The sequence below is a fragment of the Homo sapiens genome, chromosome 10 (assembly GCF_000001405.40).
Source record: "Homo sapiens chromosome 10, GRCh38.p14 Primary Assembly".
Classification (NCBI taxonomy): Eukaryota; Metazoa; Chordata; class Mammalia; order Primates; family Hominidae; genus Homo; species Homo sapiens.
This window is the reverse complement of record NC_000010.11, coordinates 13,057,444-13,076,208: the sequence shown is the minus strand read 5'-3', so window position 1 is coordinate 13,076,208 and position 18,765 is coordinate 13,057,444. Positions and strand designations below refer to the sequence as shown.

General features: G+C 42.8%; 1 protein-coding gene and 1 pseudogene across 1 annotated transcript in view, besides 2 other annotated features; both read left to right on the top strand.

Moving 5' to 3' along the window:
- The window catches only part of CCDC3 (coiled-coil domain containing 3), a 203,365-nt gene that overhangs the window by 23,781 nt on the left and 160,819 nt on the right, over positions 1-18,765 (top strand). The window contains exon 4 of the mRNA NM_001282658.2: positions 2,109-2,341. The gene's annotated coding sequence lies outside the window, so the exon portion shown is untranslated. The remainder of the gene's footprint in view (positions 1-2,108; positions 2,342-18,765) is intronic.
- Positions 8,969-9,482: an enhancer, noted in NCBI's record as "H3K4me1 hESC enhancer chr10:13108727-13109240 (GRCh37/hg19 assembly coordinates)". NCBI's record gives its function as "activates a minimal SCP1, AML or CMV promoter by ChIP-STARR-seq in naive H9 embryonic stem cells {active_cell/tissue: H9 hESC(naive)}" and the evidence as "EXISTENCE:reporter gene assay evidence [ECO:0000049][PMID:30033119]".
- Positions 9,483-9,997: an enhancer, noted in NCBI's record as "H3K4me1 hESC enhancer chr10:13108212-13108726 (GRCh37/hg19 assembly coordinates)". NCBI's record gives its function as "activates a minimal SCP1, AML or CMV promoter by ChIP-STARR-seq in naive H9 embryonic stem cells {active_cell/tissue: H9 hESC(naive)}" and the evidence as "EXISTENCE:reporter gene assay evidence [ECO:0000049][PMID:30033119]".
- On the top strand, positions 17,484-18,319 carry RPL5P25 (ribosomal protein L5 pseudogene 25; annotated as a pseudogene).

Below are 18,765 nucleotides of genomic sequence, written 5' to 3'. Positions count from 1 at the left end.
TTTGCCCATTTGCTAAGTTAGAAATTTGGAGGCAGCTTTGACTCTTCTGCCCATACTGAGTTAGCCATCGAGACCTGCCTCCTTTGCTTCCCTATTTCCCTGATACCTGCTTCCCTATTATTTTAGGTTTTTTTGTTTGCTTGTTTTAAGATAGGGTCTTGCTCTGTCACCCAGGCTGGAGTGCACTGGCACAATCTTGGCTCATTGCAACCTCTGCCTCCCAGGTTCAAGCAATTCTCCTGCCTCAGCCTTTGGATATCTGGGATTACAGGCACATGCCATGATGCCTGGCTATTTTTATTTTATTTTATTTTATTTTTTTAGTAGAGACAGAGTTTAGCCATGTTGGCCAGGCTGGTCTCAAACTCCTGACCTCAAGTGATCCGCTCACCTTGGCCACTGAAAGTGCTGGGATTACAGGTGTGGAGCCACCATGCCCGTGCGCCTACCCACATCGATACATAAAATTAACCATTGCACTGAGCAAATTGGTTAATCATCAATTTTTGAAAAGTATATTGAGCATTGAAGGCTCATCCAATTCTAGGCCAGGTTTCATGGAGAATCTATAATGCAAAGTCTTTATTCCTTCTTGTCTCCCCTCCCCACAAGGGTTTTTTCCTGGTTTATTTATTTATTTATTAGTGTTTCTTCCCTTATTTTTAGCAGATTCAATACTTTAGCGGTGGGAAGAGGTTCATCCTTAGGAGCTTCTAAACCATTACCCACCTACCCAGGCTGGGACGTCTAGAAAAAAAAAACAAAAAAACAAACGTGTCTGATGAAAATAGGAATATCTGTGTGTCATCTTCCCCGACTCAGATATCAATCACTTATTATTTCGTTTAAAAGCCAAAGAAACAAAAATACCCACTGATTTTGGAGCTCCTACATGTGCCAGTCACTATGCAGGATGCTGGGGATACAGTGATACGCAAAACAAAAAGTTGTTTATTGCTTGTTAAACAAAGCAAAGGCACTTTATGCACCAGCAGAGGAAATAGGAAAACCATAGTGGAAAAGACTCCCTAGCTTCTGAGATATTGATAAGAAGTTGGAGAGATGATTTGTTATAAAGGGATGTAAAGCCTCGTTTCAGTGGGAAACCATTCGTTCATCAGGGAGCCAGGTTTGCAGTGGGCACCTATGCGTCAGTTCTGATGTTCCCCGCCTACGATTGTTTGTCCATGTCCAGCAGATGGCGCCAAGTGACTGGCCGCGGCTGGGATGTACCGGGTCCTCTTTGGAAAACATGAAATCTATTTCTATAGGGCCAGCATCTTAAAGAAGGCACTCATATTGTCTGTTTGAGACCCTTTCTTTTGCTCCATTTTAATGTGATATGTGGATCAAAATAAGAAATAGACAATAAAATGGTTTCTCCTCCTGGAATGTGGTAATATTGTGGAATAACAGGAACACAGGTCTAACGTAGATAGCTGAGTAAAACAGCACCCAGACTTGCAGCCGGCACGGGGAACTCATGTGAGTGTGTGTATGTGTGTGCACGCGTATTTGTGCTTATGAGAAAGATTAAACAGTAAAGGATGGAAGTGATAACAAATGCTTTAACAAGGGTAAGGAGAAAGTATTGTAGAAAAATCTATAAAAGCTGAGGGAGTGGGAGAGGGGGAGGGGGAGGGAGAGTTAGTTCAAGTGAGCATGAGAGCTGGGACCTTGGATTAAAAGCATTAAAAGAACTCCAGAAGAAAAGATTTGATTCCGCCGGTTGTGGTGGCTCACGCCTGTAATCCCAGCACTTTGGGAGGTCGAGGTGGGCGGATCACCTGAAGTCGGGAGTTCGAGACCAGCCTGACCAATATGGAAAAACCCCGTCTCTACTACAAAAAAAAAAAAAAAAAAAAAAAAAAAAAAAAAAAAAATTAGCCGGGATATGGTGGTGCATGCCTGTAATCCCAGCTACTCGGGAGGCTGAGGCAGGAGAATTGCTTGAACCTGGGAGGCAGAGGTTGCAGTGAGCTGAGATCACGCCATTGCACTCCAGCCTGGGCAACAGGGGTGAAACTCTGTCTCAAAAAAAAAAAAAAAAAAAAATATATATATATATATATATATATATTTGATTCCTCTGTTTCTTGCAATCCTAGTAACAGGTGACTTGAATTTCAAGTGATTATCATATAAATGGAGGATTAGAAAAGAGACACCAACTCTGGAACCAGTTCAATGGAATTCTTCAAGAGACTGTAACTTAGTGCTTACAAAGACTTGGAATGATCTACACTGCATGGTGTACCTGTTAGAGGAGGTGACATCAAAGCTTTAGGTACTGAGAGAGGATACTTCCTACTGTGGAAGGGAAGAAAAGAAAAAAGCAAAGGTGAGTTGGAATGGTAGACCTGTTGGGTTTATTCTCTCATTGCTAAGCTTTTAAAATCTCTCATTTAAAAAAAATGTCTTGGGCAGGCCACCGTGGCTCATGCCTGTAATCCCAGCACCTAGGGAAGCTGGCATGGGAGGACTGCTTGAGCTCACGAGTTGGAGACCAGCCTAGGCAACATTGAGAAACCCTGTCTCTACAAAAAATTAGCCGAACGTGGTGGCAGGTGCTTGTAGTTGTAGCTGTAGCCTCCTAGCTACTCAGGAGGCTGAGGTGGGAGGATTGCTTGAGCCTAGGAGGGGGAGGTTGCAGTGAGCCAGCCTGGGTGACAGAGTGAGATCCTGTCTCAAAAAAAAAAGTCTTCATCTAATACGGTGAAAGATGGAAGGGGATGTGGTTACTCCTGCTCCAGTTGGATTTGTTTTCTCCATTTAGAAGCTGCTTTCAGAGCAGTAATGACACCTGAGTTTAGAAAACAGTTCCCTGTGTCTGTGCATCTTCCAGCTCAGTGTCCTATGTCACCTGTCCTGAGACATTCCAAGAAGGAAGACCAAAAGACAGCATTCTTGAGCTATTCCAAAGAGATCACAGAGGCCACCACCAAAGAGAAGACTAAGAATCTACCATAGTTTGCCCCGGTAAAATGGTATTTTTCTTAGGAACTATTGCAAGTTATAAAACTCCTAAGTGAAATGATTGTGTGGCCAGGGATAGTGGCTCATGCCTGTAATCCCAGCACTTTGGGAGGTCAAGGCAGGTGGATCATTAGAGGTCAGGAGTTCAAGACCAGCCTGACCAACATGGTGAAACTCGTCTCTACTAAAAATATAAAAATTAGCCAGGCGTGGTGGCACATGCCTGTAATCCCAGCTGCTTGGGAGGCTGAGGCAGGAGAATCGCTTGAACCCAGGAGGTGGAGGTTGCAGTGAGCCGAGATCATGCCACTGCACTCTAGCCTGGGTGACAGAGTGAGACTCTGTCTCAAAAAAAAAAAAAAAAAGAAAGAAAAGAAAAGAAAAGAAATGATTGTGCAGGCAGAAATGTCTTTAAGGCATCATTGTTGCAGAATTTTGCTCCTTAGTTCAGCTAAAACTGGGTTCATGTCACATGACCAGGAGACTTTAGACATGTGGACACATTGAAGGGTGTGCAGAGCAGCATTTTATTGGGCAAAAGGGGGAAAAAAAAAGAAAAAACTCAGCAAAGTGAGATGGAGTCCTATTAACAGGCCTCCCACCTCACAGGTTGAATCCCAGGCCACCACACAGGAACTGAAGAGCAGGCTCCTCCCCCTGCCTGTGGCTCCACCCCATTCTCCCAGTGCACATGTGAGCAGGCTCAGATGAAGCCCTGGGCATGTTCCCTCATCTGTACAGAAGCATCTGATGTAAACACTTGTGGGGTGGGTCGGAGATTCTCTGGGGACACCTTTATATCTGCCTAGGCATTTGGCTGTCTTATTCCCCCCTCTAAAGAAGTACATCCAACGGCGGTTAGAATAAGGTAAGGATAAGGATGATGACCAAAATTAACTGCTTTCTGCTAACAGGGGGCACTGTTTTGGGGAAAACAGCAGTCAGATCTCCCTCAGAGGCTTATCTAAGTATCCCCAGCAGAAAAGGCCATCGTCCGAGGCTCTGGTTGCATGATCATTTGGAGTTTGATAGCCTGAAGGCGAGAATAGACAACTGGGTTATTAGGAAACATATATCAAAACGAAACAAGGAGGTTACGGTAAGGACAGCTCAAAAAATCCCAAGGCCTTTTACTGGTTTGCAAAGTGGGAGGGGAGGCCAAAAGCCCAACTGGTTAAAAAAATAAAAAATGAAACTACCCTTTTGCCAGCATTTGGACTTCTGGGTTCCCTTCTCCTGAGCCCAGTACTAAACCAACCAGCCTAAGGTTTAGGAAATTAACTCTTCCCAGTTTGGAGAATGCATCTGAAGGGAGCGTCTCATAGTACAGAGACACCATTATATATCACTGAAGAGAGGACAGAGGAAAAAAAAAGGAAAAAGAAGGTGTTTTTTAGAGGAGTCCCAGGGGTTCAGGAGGCATTCAAAAGAGATACAGACTGAAGATGAATGGCTACCCATCCAGAAAGAAGGGAGCAGGCATCCCTGGTTCCTTTCTCTTACTAGCAAACACCCAGAGTACGTGAGGGACGGAAAGTGAGGCGTTCCTCTTTCTTTCCTCTGTCCTTGTATCCCCAAGTCCTGGCAGCCACAACAGGGTGCCACCTATGGGTGTCAAAGTGGCTTTCACCCATGTTAAAAGGAGGGCCTAAGGGATGGGAATATCCGCTCTTACCCACATACGCCCTGTCTCCCCTGCTGTCAGTAGCCTGTGAATTCCCTAGACCTCATTTATGCCGTGGATACTAGCATGACCTTTATCCGTGTAATGGGAAGCTTGGCTTAAGCAGCAGGAATTAGTCATGCTCACCTGTGCTGTGTCTTTTAACTGCCATTATCATCTGTCTCTGGATTCCTCAGATCCAGTTTTCTTTCCTAGGGCTTTGAGCTGAAGTTTGGAATTGAATTTGGGACAAAAATACGTCTTGAGGGGGGGTTGCGTGGACTCCTTATTATAAGCTGAATGCTGAGATGAAGCGGTGGAATTGAGTCCTCCTCCAACCAGGGAGAGAAAAGGATGTCTTGTGACACCCCTAGATCACTGGTGGCTATAGTTATGCTTGCTAAGATTTGGACGCATGGGGCTTGGCTTTGGTTAGCTCCCTTTGTCTTACTTTCCCAAAAAGGAAACCTCTGGGTGGTGGGCATCCTATTTATTTTCATCACCTGGAAGGATTTGCAGGATAACTGCTCAGAAGGAGAATACTGATCCAGATTTTTACGTCACCCATCCCTTTTGTTTTTTTCTGAGCTGCAGCCAGAGATTGCTGTTTGGTTCACAGGAACAAGCAGGGTTCGTCTAAAATGTAGGCAAAAAGTTAAAAACAATGAATGAATCTAGAACCTAATGATAAGTTTTGAAACATTATTTCTCTTTCTCTAGTCTTCATTTTTGTTAAAAACAAATCATGATAGGACTGGGTTGTTTGCAAAATAGACTTTAGTCTTATACTTGGCCCGATTATTTGCATAAAGTGCAGCAAGAATAATTATTTCCACATAGGCCTTTTAGATCGGCTTTCATGGAACTTTGTTCCACAGAGAATCTCAAATAAGACCTTTTAAAGCTGAGCCTAGTCATGGGTTTGTATCCTCAAATACCGATGAGTTGGGCAAACTCCTCTCTTCTTGAGGTTTCAAGAGATATGGTCCCTGGGTCTGTTGGAAAGTGACATTCTTTACCTACCGCAGGTTAGGAACCCTGTATGGGGACTGTGTACGAAGATATGAGGCCAGTTTCTCCCATGGGGCTTTATTGACTCTGCAAGTCAAGCTTGACTCCTTAAAGGGAAGCATACCTTTCCAGTCAAAGCCTCAGTAAAGCAACCAGGTTCTCCAATTGTGTCTTGTTGCAACCAGTTTCTCCAATTGTGTGCTGTTGCAAAAGAAAATGGATTCTTATTGCACTGATGCAAACAACTATATGGCCATAAATTAAGAATACTCACAACTAGTTTCCAAATTCTGGAGAAGCCAGGCAGAGAGACAGAGACAAATATACTCCAAATTTTGTTCACAGGAGTATACCTTACTCAATGATTAAAGGCTGTAAATAGCTCAAAATAAGTTTGCTTGACTCTGAAAAACAAAACAAGGATCAGCAATATTTCAAGCAAAAGTCAAAAGATTACCTCAGTTTTGTATTAGTTTAGACCGTTCAGTTAACTCTTGTTTTGCTTGATATTCATAAACATTTCATCTTTTCATGAGTCCTGTATGTTTTTCCTTTGGAATAATGTCACAATCTCCAAAGTTATCAGAAACCTGCATTTCAGAGCACCTGTCAAAGTTCTATAGCTGGTTATAAACCATCTGTTGAAGAGGATCAAAATAAGACAATTATCTGTAAATAACAAAATGTCCAGGGTAGTTATAGTCAGAAACATGATTGACAAATAAATTTGGTTATCTTCGTGGTTTACAATAACTTAATAACCTTAATTATGATTGATAGCGTATACTCAGACATTAGAATTTTAGACATCCCATACAATTTTGGAACATATATTAATATAATTCTCTAAAATCTAACCTGAAGATTAAACATCATTTTGGCAATCCAATGTACTTAAACATGTCAAATAATCCTGTTCACCTCTCTTTTGGATACTCCAGGGGCCCTCTGTAGCATCCAAAAAGCCAGGCATCAGGAAAGACAATTTTGAAACTGAAGTTTGATTTTGGGAAGTCTGTTATGTGTTAGAAATTTAAAACACCTGATGTTATGAAATACAATTCCAGATTGCCATAAATTATTTATTTTGCCAAAATAATGACTCAGAAATTTTAAAAAAGCAAAAAACCTTTTATAACCTTTTACAAATTTTGCTAAAGAGCAGATTAATGCCTTAAGAGTACCTTGTTGTGCTTTTATTTCAATGCTGAATTTATAGAAGACCATATAATAACCATTTGAATGTAGTTAATATGTTCACACATGGAATTTCTTTTGCAAGATTATTATTATTATTTTTTTGAGGCAGAGTTTCAGTCTTTGTTGCCCAGGCTGGAGTGCAATGGCACAATCTCGGCTCACCGCAACCTCTGCCTCCCGGGTTCAAGTGCTTCTCCTGCCTCAGCCTCCCGAGTAGCTGGGATTACAGGCATGTGCCACCACGCCCAGCTAATTTTGTATTTTTAGTGGAGATGGAGTTTCTCCATGTTGGTCAGGCTGGTCTCGAACTCCCGACCTCAGGTGATCCGCCTGCCTTGGCCTCCCAAAGTGCTGGGATTACAGGCATGAGCCACCACACCCGGCCAAGATTAATTTTTATACTCCTTTCATCATTTGATTAAACCTTCAGCTTTACCTTATCTAATTCAAAACAATCCTTCAAGCCTAGGAAAGAATTTACATTTCTACGCCTTCTTATCATCTTTTGCTAAAAACACATCTTACTGTTCTTATACACCTCACATGTAAATCTATTTCCAGTAGTTTCAGTTACATGTTATAATGGTAACTCCCAGCAATTTTTAACTTTTATGTAGAACCTAGTAAGTTGTTATAATTATGTACAAGTCGCAGCCAAGGTTTGACTCCTTCCAGCATAATTAAGGGTGTGGTTTATTCCATATGTCTGTAGGCCTCACCAGTTGTGAAGCAGGCAAGTCAAACTGTTCACAAAAACCAAAAAAGGCAGTTTATAACCTTAAAACATTTAGCAAACCTAATATCTGACCTGCATAATTTAGATCACCTATTTACATTTTGATGACATCTACATTTTACCAATAATCTTTAAGGCTGCTTTTATTCCTCGAGGATTAAAGTCATGTGAACTGAAAGGTACCACAGCTTTTATCTTCCCTTTTAAAAAATATTTGATTCAAGTGCTTATCCTCTTTTAAGTCAATGAAGTAGAGCTCTTTTTTATAGACATCACATACACGACACATATTTAACTACACAAGCAGAAGAAAATGCAGTAGCTGTGAAATTTTTCGTCTGCCAATCTCCTAATTGGATTATTGGCTTCCGGGTGTTGCCTTTTAAGAGACAGGGCCAGAAAAACATGCAGCTTTTAAGGCCTAATAAAATAGGCATGACTGGGAGGCAAAAACAGATTTTGAGAGGGATATATCTGCATTTAATTCCCGGGGTTCCATGAGAAAAACAGGTTTCTTCCCAAAACGGGGTTAGTGGCACCTTGTCTGTTTTTCCCAAGGAGTCCCATGCCCCCAGGAGTTATCTTAGGGCCTCTCATGCATACATTAAGAGTGACAAGGCAAAATGGAGAAAAATAATTCAGTCTACTGAGAAAAAGCCCTTTTCCAGCAAAGAGATCCAAGAAAACAAACAAACAAACAAAAAACGTAAAGACCTTTTAAATATACTTATAACTTGGATATCCACTTTTAATTAAGCTGAGTGCTCTTTGAGAAAAACCTTTTAACTGCCTTATTACCCAACTAGCCGTGCCAAGTGGCCAATATTTCTGGCTTTCAAACTTTGCTAAAGGTGATGTCCCAGGTGCTCAGAGAAAGGAAGATAAAAGGTGGTTCGTGGAGGGGAAGAGAATCAGCAACAGATCATGCAGATATCAAACCAGAAAGGACTTATTCCCTAAGCCAGGATTGAACCCGGCCGCCATTGTAAAATGGTGGAGGCTAAGACAAAACGTTGCCACGTGGTTACAGGTCATGCTCCCTAAAACAAGATGGAGGCCCGCAGCAAGGTTTGCTACTCACCATACAGAAAGTCATGCAAAGCCCACAAGACTGGCTACAGCTTAAGACCAACCTCACAAATCCTTTTTCATAATTAAAACTTTACAGAGAATATAAACAGTGATCCTTATTCCTGGCCTAGTAAAATGTCTTCAAAAAGGAAAAAAAAAACCTCTCACTTAAAAGTTAAATGCTGACAGGGTAGAGAAAAGGAAAAAATAGTTTAAAATGCAGGGTTGGAAAGATGCCTGGGGAAAATACCTCTTACTCTTATACAAATGGGTTCCTCCGACAGGGAGAGAAACTTAATTGCTGTCCACCATTGGGCACCCTTGGGCCATGGGCCATGCACCCCAACCCTGGCTGGGAGGGGAGCGGGGAACCCACCATTCGCCAGTCTATCTCGCAGGTGCCTGCAGCCATTGGGGTGAGGGGGTGTGCAGTTTCCTCTACCCTCAGAAGAAGCCCAAGGACAAAAAGGCTTGGAAGCGAAAGGGGAAAAAGATTTTTTGGTTCACATCTTACCCACCCCTCCTCAAGCCCCACACCTAGGAGCCAAAATGTTGCAGAATTTTGCTCCTTAGTTCAGCTAAAACTGGGCTCTAGCTTGTCAGAAGACCAGGAGAATTATATGTAGACACATTGAAGGGTGGGCAGAGGAGGGTTTTATTGGGCGAAAAGGGAAAAAAACAAAAAAACTCAGCAAAGTGAGGTGGCTTCCTGCTAACAAGTCCCCCACCTCACAGATTGAATCCCAGGTCACCACACAAGAACTGAAGAGCCAGGCTCCTCCCGCTGCCTGTGGCTCCACCCCGTTCCCCCAGTGCACGTGTGGGCAGGCTCAGACGAGGCCCTGGGCAGGTTCCCTCATCTGCACAAAAGCATCTGATGTCAACACTTGTGGGGTGGGTCGGAGGTTCTCTGGGGACACTGTTTTATCTGCCTAGGCATTTGGCTGTCTCATCATGGTATACAAATACTATGGGTTTTGCTGTTTGCCTTAATTCCAGTGATCTCACAACACTGGTGCCCAAAACTAAACATCTCTTTCTTCCAGGAAAATTGATTTCTTACAAAAGAATATTACAAACTGTTACAAGTTTGAGCTTAATTATAAAATCTGTGGAGAGGTGTGGTGTGTAATTCAGATTATTCCAATGAAGCAGTCAAAAAATATCTGCTAAAACATACCCTGGTAAACCAGTGGCTCTCAAATTTGTGGGCTAAAGAATCACCTGATTAGCTGAGCGTGGTGGTGCATACCTGTGGTCCCAGCTACTCAGAGGCTGAGGTGGGAGAATCACCTGAGCCCGGGAGGGCAAGGGTGCAGTGGGCCAAGATCGTACCATTGTACTCCAGTTTGGGTGATGGGAATGAGACCCTGTCTAAAAAAAAAAAATCACCTAGGGTGCTTGTTAAGCTGCAAATTCCTAGGCTCAACTCCAGATATTCTAATGAAAGGAACTGGGGATGGAGCCCAGGATTTTGCATCTCAATCATTTCAGATGATTCTGATGCAGAAGATTCAAAGACCTCTTTTAGAGAAACATTACCCTAAGCAAGGGCAGAGTTGGTCAGTTGCAGAGGTCTTCCAACTCACTTCCCACTCATTCGTTCACTCATTCTTTCCTGAACTTATTAATTCAACAAACATTTATAGTGCCCTATCATTGTACATGGTGATGTGGACTTGGTAATGTAAAGAGACTCGGTTCCTGTCTGGATGGAACTTATATCTAATGACTGATATATATATATGACATTGATGTATGATTGACAGCATCAACTGGTAAGTATTGAATGTGTCCATACATGCCAAAGAGAATGTTGCAGGGATTTAGAAGGAAGTTGTGTCAACGTGGGTTCAAGTGGGCAGGAATGGAGGAGCTATTCTGTGGAGGGGGTAGGACATTGCCTGGGCCCTGACTGTTGAGGAATGAGCAGGATATCGAAGAGAAGGAAACAGCATTAGCTTCATATCGTAATTATTAAGCAAGAACGTTCTTAATATCCATAAGCCTATACTAAAGATAGAGTGGCCAAGCATGCCCAGGATTAAAACTATAATCTCATTAACTACCTTCCAAGGAGAAATAAAGAATAAGAAGTGAGAAGTTCCTGAATCAGCAACATCATCTCCTTGTTTTTTCAATATTCTGATGCCCATTGGACCATTTTTATGCTAATAAGTTGATCAATAGTAGGATGTTTTGATGTGACGTGTTTATATGGTATTGCTTTTCTCCTAGGTCCATATCTATTTCATCCAGCTACTTCCAAAAAGTTAAAAACACTAAACATAAGATCCTTGTAGGATATAAACAATTAGCACTCTAGGAAGATTAGGACTGTTTGAAACCAAGAGAGGCAGGTTAATCTAATTAAAAATTACTTCTTATTTAACAAAGAGATCTGTATTCATTAAGACTTCTACTTAGACATACTATTTTTAGCTATATTTTGCCAATCCTATTACATGTGTGAAAAATAAATAAATCTCGGAAATCTTGGGGCTGCAAAATCACTAAGCTAAAGAGGAAAGTCAAGCTGAGAATTGCTTAGGGACAACCTGCCTCCCACTCTATTCAAAGTCATCCCTCTGCTCACCGAGATAAATGCATATCTGATTGCCTCCCTTGGGAAAAGCTGATCAGAAACTCAAAAGGATGTAACCATTTGTCTCTCATCTACCTGTGACCTAGAAGCCTTCTCCTTACTTCAGTTGTCCTGCCTTTCAGGACAGAACCAGTGTATGTCTTTTATTTATTTATTTATTAGACAGAGTCTCATTCTGTCGCCCAGGCTGGAGTGCAGTGGCCCCTGATCTTGGCTCACTGCAAGCTCCGCCTTCCAGGTTCACGCCATTCTCCTGCCTCAGCCTCCCCAGTAGCTAGGACTACAGGCACCCACCACCATACCCGGCTAATTTTTTATATTTTTTTAGTAGAGATGGGGTTTCATCATGTTAGCCAGGACCAGTGTACATCTTACATGTATTGATTGCTATCTCATGGCTCCCTAGAATGTATAAAAGTAAGCTGTGCCCTGACCACCTTGGGCACATGTCGTGAGGATCTCCTGAGGCTGTGTCACAGGCACATGTCCTCAAGCTTGGCAAAACAAACTTTCTAAATTAACTGAGACCTGGCTCAGATTTTCAGGGTTCACACATGAAAGAAATTTTATGTAATTTATTTCGTGAAGACCAATTTCTAGCTGTCCAGCTACTGTTACATTTCATGTCTTAATCTGTAAAACAGGTTTAATAGCCCCTGACTCAGAGAGGTGTTTGAGGATGAACTGAGAGGACAGTTGTGATTGACTTTTAAAACCCATGCTGGCCGGGCACAGTGGCTCACGCCTGTAATCCCTGCACTTTCGGAGGCTGAGGCAGGTGGATCACGAGGTCAGGAGATCGAGACCAACCTGGCCAACATGGTGAAACCCTGTCTACTAAAAATACAAAAATTATCTGGGCATGGTGGTGTGCACCTGTAGTCCCAGCTACTTGGGAGGCTGAGGCAGGAGAATCACTTGAATCAGGGAGGCGGAGGTTGCAGTGAGCCGAGATGGCACCATTGCACTCCAGCGTGACGACAGAGCGAGACAATGTCTCAAAAAACAACAACATCAACAACAACAAAAAAAAACGACTCACACTAAGAATGAGTGTAAGTTATGAGTTTTCCAGCCATTCTAAAATCTTCCTCGGGATAAAAAGCAGGATCGCAGAGAGCTAGAACATACAATTCTACCTCATCCCAGAACTTGCAAGATATTATATTAACAAGGAAGGCTTCCCAGCCCTTCTTGTTAATATCTTACAAAGCATGCAAGCCAAAATACTGAAGCATTTGTATCCCAGAGTTTCCATGAGTTTGTAGAGAGGTGGTACATCTGGTGGAACAGACTCTGGCGCTAGGCGACTGGGTTTTTAATCTTAGATCCATTCCTTACTATTTACGTGGCTTTGAAGGTACTGAACCTTGATGTGCCTTAGTTTTCTTATCTGTGAAGTAGACATAAAAAGATTGTTGTGATTCAATGAATCCATAAACATCTACACACATAAAGCATTCCTATCTGCCCCTAGAGAAGGTTGTGTTAGCTGTTGTCATGAGCTCTGATGTTAAGGAAGGTACCCAAGGGCATGACAGTTTCAGTTTCATGGAGTGTATAGGAAGACTGGAGATGTATTGATACATACATAAAAATCAAATAGAGGATGGAAAATTAGCAGGACACCATGCCTAGAACAATTATTTATATTGTAACCACCCAAGGGGTTCAACTTGCCCACTGCCTAGACAGAGCTGATAAATCAAGACAGGGGAACTGCAATAGAGAAAGAGTAATTCACACAGAGCCGGCTGTGTGGGAGACCAGGGTTTTGTTATTACTCAAATCAGTCTCCCCGAACATTCGGGGAGCAAAGTTTTTAAAAATAACTTGGTGGGTGGGGGTAAGCCAGTGAGCCAGGAGTGCTGATTGGTCAGAGATGAAATTGGTAAGCCAGTGAGCCAGGAGTGCTGATTGGTCAGAGATGAAATCGGTAAGCCAGTGAGCCAAGGGTGCTGATTGGTCAGAGATGAAATGGCCGTGAGTCAGCTGTCTTCTTGCACTGAGTCAGTTACTGGGTGGGGGCCATAAGAGCAGATGAGCAAGTTTATTGATCTGGGTAGTGTCAGATGATCCATCAAGTGCAGGGCATGCAAAATATCTCATGCACTGATCTTAGGAGCAGTTTAGGGAGGGTCAGAATCTTGTAGCCTCCAGCTGCATGACTCCTAAACCGTAATTTCTAATCTTGTGGCTAATGTTAGTCCTACGAAGGCAATCTAGTCCCCAAGCAAAAAGGAGGTCTGCTTGGGAAAGGGCTGTTACCATCTTTACTTAAACCATAAACTAAGTTTCTCCCAAAGTTAGTTCAGCCTACCCCCAGGAACGAACAAGGATAGCTTGGAGGTTAGAACAAGACAGAGTCTTGCTTATCTCTTTAGATAAGCTTTCACTGTCTGTCATAATTTTCCAAAGGGGGTTTCAATATCATCCCTTATAACAGAAAACATTTAAGACTGTTTGTAAGAATGCATATATAAAATAGTGTGGCACAGGTTTAAAATATGAGAATAGTAGAAGTAGGAACATTAAGGAGGACTGGAGAAGAATCCAGTACAAAAAAAGCATCCCATGGCATCTTATGTACATACAATGGGTGGACCACATGGTTGACTCTAAGCTTTCTAGCAACCATTGCAAAAGGGAAACTCGGTTAGTCAGTCACAAGATAAAAGCAGGCCAATTGTTCAGGAGAAGCACAATTATTCCTTATATTCAGACTGAGGACTAAGCTCTGATTTTTTTCTTATCTTGCACCAATTCTTATCTAAGGGGTCTGGGGAGTCATGCCCTACAAGCCATAAATTCTCGTCAGATGGGTTTTATTTAACCCTACATATTGCTACTTACTTTCCTTTCTGAATCTGGCATAACATTATGTGGCAAAGAAGAAAATCAAAATATTTTACCCCAAAACATGGTTCTTTGCGTATTTTGAAATGGCCCTGTAAAACTGTCCTTTCTGGGTGGTGGGGGGGAAATTTACATCTCTAAAGAATCTCTGTTAACATAGCTAGATCTTTTTCTTCCAGGCCCTCCCAATCCTGAGGAGATTAACTGAGAGTCCAGCACCTTCTAAAGGTCTGAATAGGAAACAGTTGTCATCTGTTGTCTCTAAGGGCAGCCACTATGAGACTTCAAAAGAACCTCAGTCTCCACAATCTTTTATCTGAACCTGAATATTTCCTTTCTATTGATCCCAGGTCTTTAGACAAACTCAACCAATTGGCAGCCAGAAAATGTTTAAGTTTATCTGTAGCCTGAAAGCCCCCATCCCCATTCCTTTTGAATTGTCCCACCTTTCTCCACCAAACCAGTGTATTTCTCAAATGTATTTGATTGATGTCTCATGCCTCCCTAGAATGTATAAAACCGAGCTGCACCCTGACCATCCTGGGCATATGTTCTCAGCACCTCCTGAAGGCTGTGTCACGGGCCATGGTCATTCATATTTGGCTCAGAATAAATATCTTCAGATATTCTACAGAGTTTGACTGTTTTCGTCCACACAAGACCAGAGGGGATGCTCCCAGCCATCACCTTTGAGATGAGGCTGCGTCATGTAATAAACAACATCTCTGATATGTTTTCAGCAGATGAACCAGTGTTTTACAGAACTGCTTCCCACACTGTTAGGTAGATCATCACCGGAAGCCCACTGCAGTAACAGCAGTTCTGTGAGGAGGTGGAACTGTGTGTTCCAGCTCTCTGCGATTCTGCTTTGTATCCTCAGGAAGATTTTAGAATGGCTGGAAAATCCATAATTTATACTCATTCCTACTTGCTTGGGTTTTATAACACAATCACAACTGTCCTCTCATTTCATCCTCAGAAACCTCTCTGAGACAGGGATTATTAAAACTGTTTTACAGATTTAGAAACTGAATCCAAGTGTGGTTGGACAGCTGGAAAATTATGGAACAAGGATTTAATCCTGCTAATTCCCAATCTAATCTTGGGCCATGCCTTTATTACCAAACCTCTTAGAGCCCTCTCTTCCTTGAATTTTTCACTCCATTAAAATCTGATTTTTATATCAACACCTCCGTTGAGATTGCTATTATAAAACTCACAAATGATATTTTTATTGTCAAATCCAGTAACCCCTTTTTTTCAGCCTTTAGAAACAAAATTTGAACCCTAGGTGTGGTGGCTCACACCTGTAATCCTAGCACTTTGGGAGGCCGAAGAGGGAGGACTGCTTGAGGCCAAGAGTTAGAAACCAGCCTGGGCAACATAGCAAGACCCCTGTCTCTACAAAAAATTTAAAAATTAGCCTGGTTTGGTGATGTGCATCTGTGGTCCCAGCTACTTGGGAGGCTGAGGCAGGAGGATTGCTTGAGCCCAGGAGTTTGAGGCTGCAGTGAAGCATGATTGCATCAGTGCACTCCAGCTTGGGCAACAGAGTGAGACCCTGTCTGTTGTTTACAAAGATACTCTTTGGCATTCTGTTTTCCTTTGGCCTTGGGGACTCTTGTTACTCCTGATATCCCTCCCACCTCTCTGATGACTTCTGCTCCTTGGCCTTTATACGCAACTCCTCTCCAGCCCACATCCCAAATGCTGGCGCTCCCTGAGGGTGCATCTTTGGTCCTCTCCTCTTCTTACTCTGTGCAGTTTTCCCAAGAGAGCCAATCCCCTTCCCTGAATTCAGACGCCATCTTGAAAGCACGAATTCCCAGACACGCACAGCAAGGTCACGTCTTCCATGGGGTTGAGTTCCAAGGTCTGAGGCCGAGGTAAAAATAGCATTTTCTCACTATGAGATTTGTTTGTTTTGTTTTGTTTTGTTTCTGATGAAACAGCTGGCTCAGATTTGGAGCCATTATGTAGAAAAACAATGTTTTTTGTTTTTGTTTTTGAGATGGAGTCTCACTCTGTTGTCAGGCTGGAGTGCAGTGGTGCAGTCTTGGCTCACTGCAACCTCTGACTCCCTGGTTCAAGTGATTCTCCTGCCTCAGCCTCCCAAGTAGCTGGGATTACAGCCCGCCATCACGCCCGGCTAAGTTTCGTATTTTTAGTAGAGAGGGGGTTTCACCATGTTGGCCAGGATGGTCTCATCTCCTGACCTCATGATCCGCCCTCCTCGGCCTCCCAAAGTGCTGGGATTACAAGCGTGAGCCACCGCGCCCGGCCAAAACAATGTTTTTTTAAAGGTTGGGATTTTACTCAGAGAGTTCACAATGTGAGAATGCACAAGAGAAATGAGGCCATCGGAGGAACAGCAGATTCACACCTCCCATTTCGTGGTCAGTTTAGAGCACATAGCCATGAAGTGAAATGGCAGAAAAAAAACCTTCAGTAATTTTTCCTTTCTCTCTGTGATTTATTCAGGAGCAAGTCCACACTGTGAATTTGGGTGTTAACGATGACTCTGTTCATCTCCGCCCCATCTCTCGCTGTCTACCTTCTAGGCCTTTCCCGTTTGGTTGTCCTGCAAGATTTCAAATTCAACATGTCCAATATTTCATTTATTGTCTTTACCTCCCATCCCGTTTTAATTAGATGTAGCAAGATGTTCACTCAATATTGTTGCTGTAACAAAGATACTCCCAAATTTTAATGCTTAACCAGTAAAAACTTACTTCTCATCTCATATCCAAAGTAGGTGTTCTAGGGCAGGAGGCAGGAGGTGAAATGGGGGCATGAGAGGTCCGCTCCGCAAAGTTGTTCAAAGGTCCAGACTGAAGACTCTGCCATCTTCCATAGGTGGCTTCCAAGGTTGCCTTGGCGTCACCCGGACAGGAGAAGGGAACAGAAAAGAGGATGCAGAAGGGCATATCTAAATTTTAGCATCACCCTTACGAAGTGTGCGTATGCCAGCAATAAGTCTACGGTATGGGAGGGAGCACAACACCAAACTTTGGTGGACAGTTTGTCTGCCACACTCCCTTCCTCCCTGTTTCTCATCTGTCCTTCCATCAGTATTTCCTGTGTTTTGTTTTTTTCTGTAAAATGGGCCACTAATAGTACTCTCCACAGGAGTTGTTATGAAAATTGAGATAGTGTATGTGAAGCAATTAGAATATGCCTGAGTCATATGGATGCGCCGTAGTGTATGAATGATAATGGCTATTAATTAGCTGCGGGACTTCCTCAGCCACCCAGCTGTGCCAAGCTAGAAACTCTCTTCCCTCATCATCCACCTCCAAACAACAAGTCCTGCTTGTTAATTTAAAAATTCATACATATTTACTTTTCTTTAACTGCAAGTAATAGGCCTGCAGGTCTCTGTCGAGCCACAGATGCAGGTCTCTGTTCCACAGGGTGGGGTTTGTTAAAGTTGTTAAAAATAAGGCCAACTTGAAGAGATACCAAGTGACGTTTAGAAGACGACGAGAGGGTAAAACGGATTACTATGCCCAGAAACGCTTGGTGATGCAGGATAAAAATAAATACAGCACACCCAAATACAGGATGATAGTTTGTGTAACGAACAGAGATATCATTTGTCAGATTGCTTAGGCCATATTGAGGGGGATATGATAGTCTGCGCAGCATATGCACACGAACTGCCAAAATACGGTGTGAAGGTTGGCCTGACAAATTACGCTGCAGCGTATTGTCCTGGACTGCTGCTGACCCACAGGATTCTCAGTAGGTTTGGCATGGACAAGATCTATGAAGGCCAAGTGAAGGTGACTGGCGATGAATACGATGTGGAAAGCATTGATGGTCAGCCAGGTGCCTTTACCTGCTATTTGGATGCAGGCCTTGCCAGAACTACCGCTGGCAATCAAGTTTTTGGCACCCTGAAGGGAGCTGTGGATGGAGGCTTGTCTATCCCTCGCAATACCAAATGATTCCCTGGTTATGATTCTGAAAACAAGGAATTTATTGCAGAAGTACACCAGAAGCACATCAGGGGCCAGAATGTTGCAGATTACATGTGCTACTTAATGGAGGAAGATGAAGATGCTTACAAGAAACAGTTCTTTCAATATATAAAGAACAATGTAACTCCAGACATGATGGAGGAGATACACAAGAAAGCTCATGCTGCTATATGAGAGAATCCAGTCTATGAAAAGAAGCCCAAGAAAGAAGGTTTTAACTTTTTTTTGAGACAGAGTCTCGCACTGTCATCTGGGCTGGAGTACCATGGCGGGATCTCAGCTCACTGCAACCTCCGCCTCCCTGGGTTCAAGTGATTCTCCTACCTCAGCCTCCTGAGTAGCTGGGATTTACAGGCACCCACCACCACGCCCAGCTAATTTTTTGTATTTTTAGTAGAGATGGGGTTTCACTATATTGGCCAGGCTGGTCTTGAACTCCTGACCTTGTGGTCTGTCTGCCTTGGCCTTCCAAAGTGCTGGGATTACAGGTGTGAGCCCCCGCGCCCGGTCAAACCAAACAATTTTCTATGAGGATTTTTCAGATAAAGACAATAAACTTATTGACAGAAAAGAAAAAAAGCAAGTAATAGATGATTCTGATGTGGAAATTATAACATATGGATTTAGATTTTTTTTTTTAAGAAAACAAAAGAAGAAACACTGT